The following is a 12,073-nucleotide window of genomic DNA, read 5'->3' on the forward strand; positions in this document are numbered from 1 at the left end:
CAGCTACTCACTCAGGGCTGCAGTTCAGACAAGGTCGAATGCAAGGCTGGAGAGAGCCAAGGGTACTATGGACTGTCTCGGACTAGCACAGTCTATGCCCAAACTGTCCCCTGGGGGATGTTCAGAGAATGACAGATGAAGCTGTCTGAGTGGGTGTGCCAGGACCAGGGTTCAGAGCCTATGTCCTCTGCAGGGGGCTCTCAGGCTGCTACCTGGGAGGAGGACATGCAGGCACCACACCCACCTGCAGCAGGAGCCGGTGGATCTGCTCTGTGAGCTCCTGAATGCTGGGGTGCAGGGCCTTCTCCTCTGTGCAGGGGTGGGCTGCAAACACGTCCTCATTCAAAGGGCCCCTGCGTGGTTTTAATTCATCTTGTTAGATGGGGCCCCACAGGAGGACCTCTCTGGCGTGACTGTATAGCCACTACATGCTGCCTGCCTGGGTGGGCCCTCTGCCTCTCCCCTGCAGCCCCCCAGGCTGCTGCCTGTCCACTCCCTACTCTGCTTGAATGAGGTCCCTCCCACTTGGGGGCAGAGGACAGGTCACCCCTGCCTAGCAGTCTGGGGCTCCAGATTGGTGGCAGGAAGCAAGGTTTCGGTCTTGGCCTCTCAGCCCCTCCCTATGCCATCTGTTGCTGGGAGGTGAGGACAGCCCGAGACCCCCGCCCAAGACCCCTGAGCCACCTCGGGCCCTTGGAGCACTCACACCCTGACTTTGTGCCTCCCAATGATGAAGGAGATTTTCCTGCTCCATGGGTTGATGAAGCTGGACCAGCTGGTGTCCAACGTGATGTACTCTCCGTTCCGGGCGCGAAACCGAATGGGAGAATAGTCGAAAGGCTGCCCGCCTGACTGCAGGACTAGGAGAGCAAAAGCCAGCATTCAGGGGAAAAGGGGAGCAAACAGGATTTATAGTAGAGAGAGACAAGTCAAGAGTCACTCAGGCCCAGGATCATTTGCAAACTGTAGGGGTATGAACACTTCTTCAAAGCCACTGCTTTCAACCTCCTGTTTTTGCTGTAGATTACCAGGAGGCTGTTTCCAGCAGGAGCTGTTTCATCCCATGTTTCACCTCTGCTAGTGTCACTTGCATCTATGAGGGCTGGGCTTGGTGAGGACATGCACTGTGCACTCCCCTGGCCTGGTGAGAACCTTCCTAGCCACAGATGAACTGGTCTCCCCTCCTCCCATGCGCCACTGAAGCCAACAGTAAACATAAGATGCTACGGACTCAGGCCACGGACTGAGAAACAACTGGCCACAAAGGAACTCACATGAGTTTACCCCTCTCTCTCGACTCCACTGGGCACTGCAGTGCCAGGAGGGAGGCGGCGAGGCGGGCGTCTACCACCTGCTTGTCCTTAGCTGATCTGACCTGTCAGAGCTAGACTGGTCCCAAGAAGCAGCCCCAAGGACACAGGAACTTCCGCCAAACACTTCAGGATGTACCATGAAAAGGGGACCTACTCTTTTTGTGGATGGCCAGCATCAAGGGCCTGTCACTAGGGTGGAGCTGCACGAGCACTGGGGTTTCAATCAGGTCCTGAGGTAGGTAGCCCAGGAGAGGGACCGCCCTGGAAGGCAAGCAGACACACGCTAGGATTGGCATCCAAACAGATGAGGAGATTGTCACTAAGAACCATCTTATTCCCTGGAAAGAGAAGATACACTCCAAACCCCACCCCCTCCCCCACCCCCGGAGATCAAAAGTTGGACTAACAGAACCAGCTAGACTTTTAATCAATAGCAAACGAAGGTTCACTGTCCAGGACGCTGAAGGAGGCTCCCTCTGCTGGGGCCTGAGTGCTTCAGCTCTGCGTTTCACCTCCCAAGAGATAAGTCATGATCATGCTTTTGTTTTCTTCCTTCCAGCATCTTTTTCTTTTTCAGTGTCATTCATTAGTTTGGCCACATGTGACCTGGCATGGATTTTTGCTTAACAAGTTTTGCCTGGGCCTCGGAAAACCCTTTGTATGTGCTTCTTTTCCAGCCTGGTCTCGTGTGACTTTGGCCTCAGCATCCAGTTGGTTTACTGTGGCTTCTTTGGAGTCTCGGTGGCTGGCTGGGCCTCTGCCCTTTGAGCTCATGCCTCCTCCCAGAGCTGTGGCTTTGCTCCATTGCAGGACGGAGCTGAACTTCAGCAGCACCTTCTGCTTCTGTTTGTGTCCAGCGCCCTCTGCCGGCTCCACCGACCATTTCTTCTCCCGATCTGCCTCTTAACACTTGTTGCATCCAAACCAATGTTTCCTCAAACTCTGCTGCTTGTGTAGAAGGATTTTCCCTGTGAATCTTTAGACCATGGTGCAGAACTTTCTCAAGGGCCTGGCGTTATTCTTTGATTTCCTCCTTCTTGTCTGAGGCTCTCTCTTCAGGCCTCATGTTTTCCTTTGGACAGGATATACAGAATGTTCCTGGCATCCGTCCCATCAAGGCCTTGCTGAAGGAGGAAGAAGAGGAAGGAAGAGGAGAGGAGTGGGGGAACAGGAAGGAAAAAGAGGGGGAGGAGGAAGAGGAGGGAGCAGAAAGGGGGTGGAGGGTGAAAAGAAGGAGGGGAGGAGGAGGGGGAGCCCTGGCTGTCCTTGGGCTTTGTGAGCCAGGCCACACACAAGGCTTCATCAAGGAGAGCTTGCAGGCTGTGGCCCATCATGCCAGGTGAACCTGTCTGCCAACCTCCCTGCACAGGGCTGAGCTGGACACCAAGTTGGCATGGGAGTGGGTTAGAGACAGTTCTCAGATCTCTGAAGGAAGAAAAGTCTCCAGAGGCTGCTTTACATATACGGCCCCAGGCCCTGCCCTCCAAGATCCTGGTTCCACAGGGCAGGGTGGTGTCCAGAAGCCTGCATCTGCAAACTGGCTCTGCCCCAGGCAGCCCCGCGGACACACCTGAGCCACCTGGAGCTGGAAGTGACGGATCCCTTTTTACCCATAGAGCCTCCCCAGGAAGCTGTGTGGCCCTGACTCCAAGGATGGGGGCCTGTGTCCCTGGGCCAAGAGTAGAGGAGGGAGAGGTCTTGATCCTCCAGCTTCTAGGTGACCTGGTTCATTTTAGGAACCCAGCACACTGGTGCTTCTTGGTCCACTTCCTGTGGTATCTTCTGAGGTCACTTTTCGGTGACTACTGCCAGTGGCCCACACATTTTTTTTCTTTCTATTTTTTTGAGACAGGGTCTTTTGCTGTGACCTAGGCTGGAGTGCAGTGGTGCAATCATAGCTCACCGTAGCCTTGAACTCCTAGGCTCAGTGATCCCCCTGCCTCAGCCTCTGAGTAGCTGGGACTACAGGTGCACACCACCACACCCAGCTAATTTTTATTTTATTTTGCAGAGACAGGGTCTTGCTACGTTTTGAACTCCTGGTTTCAAACAGGCTGGTTTCAGACTCCTGGCCTCAAGTGATGCTCCTATCTCAGCTTCTCAGAGTGCTAGGATTATAAGTGTGAGCCACTGCACCTAGCCGGCCCAAGTGTTTTTGGAGTCTTCATGCATTTGTGGAGGAGCTGGGAGAAGATGCATGGTGGGGGCAGAAGCCACTCAGAACATGGGTGCTCCCAAATCTCACTGGGACTGTTCGCACCTGCTACAGCACCCTGAGGGGGAGACCCAGAGAGAGGGACCCAAGTGGGGCTCTGAGGCATGGAGAAAATCCTGTCCCCTGGAGAAGCCTCTAGCACACAGGCTGGAAGATAGACTTCTGCTGGGATCCAGCCAATGGCATCTCCGGCTTCCACCCTGACACTGGTCCCAGGCAACAGCGCCTCTGTCTGGACCATTATCCACTCCGAATGGGTTTATATGGGAGAATTAAGACAGGCTCAATTAGATCAACAGCTCTCCAGAAAGCCTCAATTACACCATGTGCATATCTTAGGAAGTTTTCAGTGTAATTCCATAATTATTTCATTGCCTGTATATAATTACATGTTTTTGTCCATTATCATGTAATTATAAAACCAAGATGCAGTCTTGGCTTTGGCTAAATAGCTTTTATATCAAAAACATGAAAAAGGGGGTGGGTCAAGACCACGTACCTTTCATCCACATCCTGGAACAAACAATTTGGTGTATGGGTGGTTGTAAAAATTCTCTTTTCAGGAGGAATTCTAGGGGCTGAAAGAACAGAATATTGCACACATTTGTGATCCTAAGAAATGCATATTTGATGTTATATTAAAACTACCAGAAAACACCCTGTAGATTCAGAGTAATGAGCAGCTAAAGAAAAAAATTAAAACATGGACTCTGAACAACAGAGACTGCCACACTGAGAACCTTATGCTGGTTGTGGGATCGTTGGCCAGCCTTCTTAGCTTCTTTATATGCTAGTTTTAGTCTAGTAAATCGAAACTGCCGTGTTAACAAAACCACACGGACCACGTAAAGACTACTCTTAGCAAAATAAAGCTGGAAGGCCATCTTTACGATTTTTTTTTTTTTTTTTGAGACAGAGTCTTGCTGCGTTGCCCAGGCTGCAGTGCAGTGGCACGATCTCGGCTCATTGCAACCTCCGCCTCCGAGGTTCAAGCGATTCTCCTGCTTCAGCCTCTCCAGTAGTTGGGACTACAGGCGTGTGCCACCACGCCCAGCTAATTTTTTGTATTTTTAGTTGAGGTGGGGTTTCACCGTGTTGGCCAGGATGGTCTCGATCTCCTGACCTCGTGATCCGCCCACCTTGGCCTCCCAAAGTGCTGGGACTACAGGCGTGAGCCACTGCGCCCGGCCCCATCTTTATGATGTTTAAGATGAAACTACAGTGATCTGACACATTATTTTTAGGAAAATGAGTTACATACTTGGATTCAAATTTCTTTTTTTTTTTTTTAATGAGACAGGGTCTCACTATGTTGCCCAGGATGGTCTCAAATGCCCAGGCTCAAGAGATCCTCCTACCTCAGCCTCCCAAAGTGCCAGACCACAGGCATGAGCCACTGCACCTGGTCTGGATTCAGATTTCTTAGCAAATGTCACTATACTGGAGAACTTCACAGTTTAGAAACTAGACAAAGGTGGACAAAGCTGATAGAGTAATTTGCATAAAGTGAGTCATATATCCAAAATTTTCCTCAATTCATGGACAAAACATTCAAAATTCCAACATTTTCATTCTTGAAGGAGACTGGTAATTTGGGGGAATAACTTGTTGAACTCTAAGTACCCTCTCTAAACCTTACTATTTGGAAAAGAACATTCTGTAATACACGCAGGAACACAAAAAACATTGCAGAGAAAGTCACATACTTAAAATATTTCTATCACTTTTAAGAGGCTGTCATTTGGCCGGGCGCGGTGGCTCGCGCCTGTAATCCCAGCACTTTGGGAGGCCGAGACAGGTGGATTGTCTGAGCTCAGGAGTTCGAGACCAGCCTGGGCAACACAGTGAAACCCCGTCTCTACTAAAATACAAAAAAAAAGAAAAAAATTAGTTGGGTGTGGCAGCATCCACCTGTAGTCCCAGGTACTTGGGAGGCTGAGGCAGGAGAATTGTAGAATCCAGGAGGCGGAGGTTGCAGTGAGCCAAGATAGCACCACTGCACTCCAGCCTGGGCAAAAGAGCAAGACTCCATCTCTTAAAAAAAAAAAAAAAAAAAAAAGCTGTCATTCACCACAGAGAAGGTGGTGAACACAGCACAGCAGACTCAGCTGGCTTCCCCGGGTTCAGCAGTTGCAGAATGCACCTGCCTTCAGAGAATCTGGAGATCATGTGACTCGCTCAGCAGCCAAGGTGAGCACCTACAGTTCCTGGCCAGGGATTTCGGCCAATACAAGGACCAAGGTGCCACAAAGCAGGCTCTTAAGAGGGACCACAGGAAGGACCCATCAAGGTGGCACAATGCCTTGTAACCTCTGAGCTTCAAGAGAAGAGCCCAGATATTATTTTGGGGGTGGGGTAGCCAGAAGAGCTAATGGACCAAGAGGGTCAAGGTGAGGTGAGCTGGATTCTGTGAGTGAGGTGGCAGCAGGAGCAGAGACTGTGGTCCAGAATGCTGGGCATACAGAGGCACAGCAAGCCTTGTATGGAGGCTGACTCACCTGGAGAGTCATGTCAGTGCATGTCTGTCTGAGAGGAAGGGAAATTCCAGGAAAAGTTAGGATGGGCCAAGGTGGGGAGGGAGGGATGCCCAGCACTTCATTTCTTGGGGACTGAGGAACTGTTTGGGGTTCTGGAGCAGGCAGCGACATCAGTGCCCTTCACAGGGGCCCATGAGGCTGAGGCATGGGGCAGGGGATGAGGATGGGAAGGATGTAGGGCCCCAGACTTGTCAGAGCTGTTCCCACTTTGTGGACAAAAGGCAGAGCAGCCAGGGAAAGGGGAGAAGGGGTCACAGCACTGGTGTGGATAGGGGTGAGAGATGCTGGCACCCAGATGCCGTGATCTGCCATGGGCAGGGCCGGATGACAAGCAGGGTGTGCTGAGTCTCCAGAAAGATGGAGACCCTGCCCAAGGTGAGGTGGAGAGGCCAAGGCTGGGGAACTGCAGCGGGGAGTCCATCGTACAGATGTTATGTGTGAACCACAGGAGTAACTGAGGGGGAGCCAGAGACAACATCTGCCCTCGCCCTGGGCTTGGCTGTTACCTTCATAACCAGAGTGCACTCTCTCTGCCAGCAGAAGGCAGCAAAGCTGACTCTCAGCACCTTGTTGGTCCCGCACCTTGACCAGGTAGGGCGTCATGCGGAAGGGGTGGTAGCGGATTTCATTCTCGTGGCTTTTCCGGACACTGCGGAGAAGAGCCACGCTCTAAGTTGGGAACTGTGACACAGGAACAGTCCCCTGTTCTGTTCCCTCCTCACCTGGGCCCCATGCCATGCTGCAGGTGATGTGTACCTCTGCTCTGCCTGAGGAGCTGGGCCTGCCCCCTGCCCTCTTCGGTCCCTCCCTCAGTCCCATCATACTGAAGGGCAAATCAGAGTTAACACCCCCACCAGTGGGGCAGCCTGGAGCAGCCTGCACCCTGGGTTGGTAAAGCAGACAGAAAAGGGGTGCTGCTCCCGCCAGGGGTCCTCGGCCCTGACTCCTGAGGGTGCCAGGGTCTGGCTCGGGGTCACTCCTGACAGTGCAGCTGGATGCTCAATCAGTCACCCTGGTTTGGACCAAGACCCTTGTCGGGAAAGCTACGGGTCTCTCCCCAGAAAAACGCACAGACAACCAAAAGACGCAGTGCTTTCAGAAACTCTGTCGACCCTGGGGTACAGGCCTTTGCAAGACACAGAGAGAAAGTGCAGGTCCATGAGGGGCAGGTTAAAGCACTCCACTGCTGGCCGCATTCTTAGCGACCTGTACACATTTAAAATGTAACTGACTGTGTTTTCTGGTAGACTTCAGAAACAGGCGTGCTGAGTCCCTGCAGGCAGGGATCACGCCCCCCAGCCTCAAGCGGAGCAGTGCTGGGGTGAAATGTTTATACGGTTTTCTAATTTAAGAAAACTGGGAACCAGGCTTACCTGACACGGCAAAAGAAAGATTTCTCCTCCATGCATTCTTGAGTAAAAGAATCTAAAAGAGAGAGCCCAAAGTCATTCATCCAAACCAACAACTAAATACAGTGTTCCTCATTTCTCACAAACAAAAGAGGAGCAGCAGAATCAAGCAAGATTCAAGGTGAAAACTGAAAATTTATGGAAGCACAAAGTAAATCCTTTATGTGAGAAACCTTCTATTACATTTTTGACTAAAATTACATAGACTTCATGAGTGTGGTGCATTACAAATTATGCAGTGCTAAAATTTTAGCACCAGGAGGCTTACATTTTCAAAATGGCACATGATGTTGCTGCAAACACACCAATTAATTAACCACTGAACACACTCACGGTGCACTGCTGCAAACACACCAACTAACCTGCAACTGAACACACTCACGGTGCACTGCTGCAAACACACCAACTAACCTGCAACTGAACACACTCACGGTGCACTGCTGCAAACACACCAACTAACCTGCAACTGAACACACTCACGGTGCACTGCTGCAAACACACCAACCTGCAACTGAACACACTCACGGTGCACTGCTGCAAACACACCAACCTGCAACTGAACACACTCACGGTGCACTGCTGCAAACACACCAACCTGCAACTGAACACACTCACAGTGCACTGCTGCAAACACACCAACTAACCTGCAACTGAACACACTCACGGTGCACTGCTGCAAACACACCAACTAACCTACAACTGAACACACGGTGCACTGCTGCAAACACACCAACTAACCTACAACTGAGCACACTCATGGTGCACTGCTGCAAACACACCAACTAACCGACAACTGAGCACAGTCACGGATGTCCAGAACATTGACAAAGAAAGCTGTGGAGGCCACAGCAGCTATATCTTGGAAGCTAAGCCTCCATGCTGATTTTTGATTAACCCCACTTCTGGGAAGGCCTCGGAGATTTCATCTACCTACTGTCCCTGAGTAAGAGCAGGTACTTAAGGTAAATCCTGCCCTCAGGGCAAATTCCTACTGGTTCCCTCTGAAGCCGGTGTGCCAGTCCCACAGAAGCCCTGGGTCTGGGGGAATGGCAAGACTGGGATCCAGTCTTGTCTCATCGCCACCCACAACATGCATGGCCTCTGTTCTTAAGTCCCTGTTAAATATTTCTTTCTAAGAAACCGAATTTGTCAGCCTCTTTCTTTGGCCTCTCAGCTGCCTCAGACTTTGGGGTAGGTGTGCAGAGGCCTGGCCACAGTGAAACAGAAGCCCCAAACATTTCATGCTACATATTTTTGGGATAGTCAGTTCTAACAGAAACAACTTGGCATTCAAGGCTTACATCGGTATTTTGGTAAAATAGTAACTTCCTTTAAAATGTGAAATGTCTAGTGAAAATATGAAATCAATTGGGCAACCTCATCAGAAATGAAGGAAGAGGTGTTTCCCTAATAGTTGAAAGGGATTTAAAAAACAGAAATCTCTGCTTTCGTGGGAATCTAAACTAAAAAAAAAAAAAATCTTAGATCTAGGTCTTTCATACATTTCATCTACTCAAAAGAAATTAGGAAAGTAGAAGCAATGGCTAGTTACGGAAAATGATATAAAATCAGCAGCTTGGAAAGGCCCCTGAGAATTCACCTGGTCCTTGACTTAGCTGGGCAGGGAGGAGAGCTGGGGCACAGGAGGCCCTGAGGAGAGTGGGGGTCAGAGGCACCGGCAGAGGCCCAGAGGCAGGCACACCCCCAGCTGGCTCCAGGGACTAGACCAGACCCGGCTGGGAGGGCCTGGCTGGGGAGCGGAGCCTGGAAATGAGGCAGGGTAGACGGTGGCTACAGGGGCAGGCCCAGCAGCCAAGAAGGCTGCCATCCACAGTGCAGCACACTTGGCCTGCAGTGCCTCGGGGGCCAGCGGCATCTGCCCAGGGATCTCACAGTCTGTATACCCAAAGCCAGCCCTGGTCAAGGCAAAGAACCCTCAGGAAGTCACTCTGGGATATGACCCACTCACTGGTTGCAGCTGCTAAGGTGGCAGGGGGACGCCTGCGTGCAGGGAGCAGGGTGCCTTGCTCACGCTCCCCACTGCCCCCACGACCCGGCCTCCCACGACTGCAATCACAGCAAGATTCCAGCTTTTCCAAACAACTTCATTTCTAAAATGCCTAACGGTTTTCTCTCTCTGAAATGTATGGAAAGACTATTTTTTTCTCTAAATTTATTCTGAAGGGACGAACAACTGCTTATCCTTTACCTTTGCCAGAGCAGGCAGCTGGCGGCCCCCACAGGTGGGCTCTGAAAGGTGAGGCAGGGCGCCTGCACCACATCTGGGTTGGGCCCAGCTCCTGGCCCCTTTCCCGACCCCAGAGGGAACAAGGCACTACCTCGATAACCTCACCTGCTCCACTGCACATGCTCCACAAGGGAAGCTTGTACGGGGAGGTGAAACTGTGGAACACGCCCACATCGTGAGGCGCCAGGAACTCCACAAACTTGGCATCGCTGAAGGCATCTCTTTTACAGTGAAATATGGATGCAACCTGGTCAGAGATGTACAGGATCTTCCCAGACACCAGGGACACGGCCACCGCAAACATATCCTGAAAAGGAAGAGTAGGGCTCTGATGACAAGGTCAGATGGTGTCGGACGCCACATCCGACTCAGGCAGGCAGGCTGGAGGGAGCCGCCCACCAGGAGCGTTGGAGGTGGGGGGCTCTCTGACTCCCTTGCCTAGCCCTCACCAAAAAATCCTATCTTGCCTGTTGACAGAGCAGGAGCATCGCCATCTTGGACAAGCCCCTCATTCTAAAGTTCACCTTAATAAAAAACAGCCTACATCCAAAGGGCATCAGCCTAATGGCTAAGGTCAACATGACCATAAACCACAAATAACATCTCCAACCAGAAACATTCCAAACTCCTCCCGGACCAGAGACATACTAGCCCCGAGATGACCCCAATCCGGGCCGGAAAGATGCCTGCCCCAAGATAACCTCCCCTCCTCCCAGAGAGATTCCAGCCCCGCCATAAACTTCTCCACACACAGAAACATTCCAAGCTTGTGATAAGCCCCCTCACCCTAAAACCAACATATACTCTCAGTCTGTAAGAGAAAGCGCTCCTGACCAAAATCGGCCAGGAGTACCTCTCAGGTTTTAACTAAAGAAAACCTGTCTTTGACTGCCAAGCTGCGTTTCATGTTTCTTTCCTCTTTAACTCTTACACCTGTTACAGATACTGGGAGGTCCAGCATGATATTATTTGAAACAACACATCAGGGTTCTATGGCTGGAAGAAACCCCAGCTGTCTCCACCCCCTGGGAGGCGCCACTCACCCCGCTGTCTTGGACATGGCACCTGGTGTCCAGGCTGGGTGACTGGGAGGTGGGGGACCCTCTGCTCACTTGGCCTGCCCTAACAACCTCCACCAGCCTTGCTGTCTCCCAGGGTTCTAGGGGCTTCCTGGGGAGGAGAGGCCTCTGGTTGGGCCCCTCCAGCCCACCATGGGCGCTCTACCTGCTGGCTGGCCCTCTGGGCTCAGGGTTGGGGGCTGCCTGGGGGTTACGCTGGAGGAAGAAGATGGGAAGGATTAGGGAGCCCTGTTATGAGGCCAGCTTCATGATGGTCCCAGCACATGTGGGATCCCCACTAGCCCTCACATCTGTTCTCACCGGCTGAGAACTCAGAGTGGTAGAGTAGGTGTGTGTGTATGTGGCCCATGTGCCCTCCAAGGGGCCCACCTTTGGGTGTGCTTAAGAATGCACGGGCTTTGGAGTCTCAAATCCCAGCTCCCCCTCATGACCGCAAAGCCCTGGACAAGTGAACTGACTGTCACCAAGTGTGTCTCCTCACCTCGAGGACATGAAAACCCAGAGCCCCCCAGTTCAGTCACACTGGGTTTGCCCTTGCACCCATGAGCTACAGGACAAAGTTGGTCAGGGACGAGGAAGACAGTCTCACAGAAGGCAGAAGTCCAGAACATGAATGCCACTTCCAGAATCACTGACTTCACATTCTTCCTTTTAAAGGTAGGAACTTATCTGCTGAAACCCCAAACACTCCTGCCTTACAGCCACCGGCCGCAGTGCTGAGCTAGCTCGCCTGCAGGAGGAACTCCTGCCATTTTAGAAAGAAACTTTGCGGAAAGAGGCTTACGGCATTCTTCACAATGTGCTCAGAGGTAACGCTCTCCATCTCCTCCACGGTGTAGGAGGGCACGTCTGCTCCACAGGGGTGACCCTCGCTGGACATCAGCAGCTGGTAATACTCTTCATTGGCTGCAGGAGAGACAGTGTTCACTCAGTGGGCAGAACCCAGCGCTTGGCCGGAGACAGTCACTAGCTCTTACAAACTGAGGGCTCTACTTTTCTCAAATGAAAAGGTAGGATATAAATCTCGTCTTCCTGGGACACAGAACATACGGAAACGTGAAGGCAAAACAAACTCACAGACAGAAATCGGGATATTTTTCCCTGAAACATCAGAAGGACTTTGATTATAAAATGTTTTAAAAGTGGCAACTACATTATTTAAGGTAATACGGTCGCAGAGTTCCAGCTGCCTCTCATGTTCTCCAGAAGGGGCTTTTTTTTTTTTTTGAGATGGAGTTTTGCTTTTGTTACCCAGGCTAGAGTGCAATGGCG

At 51.5% G+C, this 12,073-nt stretch overlaps 1 protein-coding gene across 5 annotated transcripts in view, besides 2 other annotated features; it reads right to left on the reverse strand.

The window, feature by feature from the left end:
• PER2 (period circadian regulator 2) overlaps positions 1 to 12,073 on the reverse strand; it is a 56,022-nt gene that overhangs the window by 17,441 nt on the left and 26,508 nt on the right. For all 5 annotated transcript variants that reach the window (XM_047446232.1, XM_047446231.1, XM_005246111.5 and 2 more), the window contains 8 exons: positions 11,586 to 11,707; positions 9,828 to 10,029; positions 7,439 to 7,490; positions 6,572 to 6,714; positions 4,028 to 4,106; positions 1,468 to 1,574; positions 707 to 860; positions 245 to 353 (listed from right to left, as the gene is read on the reverse strand). In XM_047446232.1, coding sequence (XP_047302188.1) covers positions 245 to 353; positions 707 to 860; positions 1,468 to 1,574; positions 4,028 to 4,106; positions 6,572 to 6,714; positions 7,439 to 7,490; positions 9,828 to 10,029; positions 11,586 to 11,707 — 968 coding nt within the window. The remainder of the gene's footprint in view (positions 1 to 244; positions 354 to 706; positions 861 to 1,467; positions 1,575 to 4,027; positions 4,107 to 6,571; positions 6,715 to 7,438; positions 7,491 to 9,827; positions 10,030 to 11,585; positions 11,708 to 12,073) is intronic.
• Positions 2,299 to 2,799: an enhancer, noted in NCBI's record as "H3K4me1 hESC enhancer chr2:239172424-239172924 (GRCh37/hg19 assembly coordinates)". NCBI's record gives its function as "activates a minimal SCP1, AML or CMV promoter by ChIP-STARR-seq in naive H9 embryonic stem cells {active_cell/tissue: H9 hESC(naive)}" and the evidence as "EXISTENCE:reporter gene assay evidence [ECO:0000049][PMID:30033119]".
• Positions 9,488 to 9,987: an enhancer, noted in NCBI's record as "H3K4me1 hESC enhancer chr2:239179613-239180112 (GRCh37/hg19 assembly coordinates)". NCBI's record gives its function as "activates a minimal SCP1, AML or CMV promoter by ChIP-STARR-seq in primed H9 embryonic stem cells {active_cell/tissue: H9 hESC(primed)}" and the evidence as "EXISTENCE:reporter gene assay evidence [ECO:0000049][PMID:30033119]".

The sequence above is a fragment of the Homo sapiens genome, chromosome 2 (genome assembly GCF_000001405.40).
Source record: "Homo sapiens chromosome 2, GRCh38.p14 Primary Assembly".
Taxonomy (NCBI): Eukaryota; Metazoa; Chordata; class Mammalia; order Primates; family Hominidae; genus Homo; species Homo sapiens.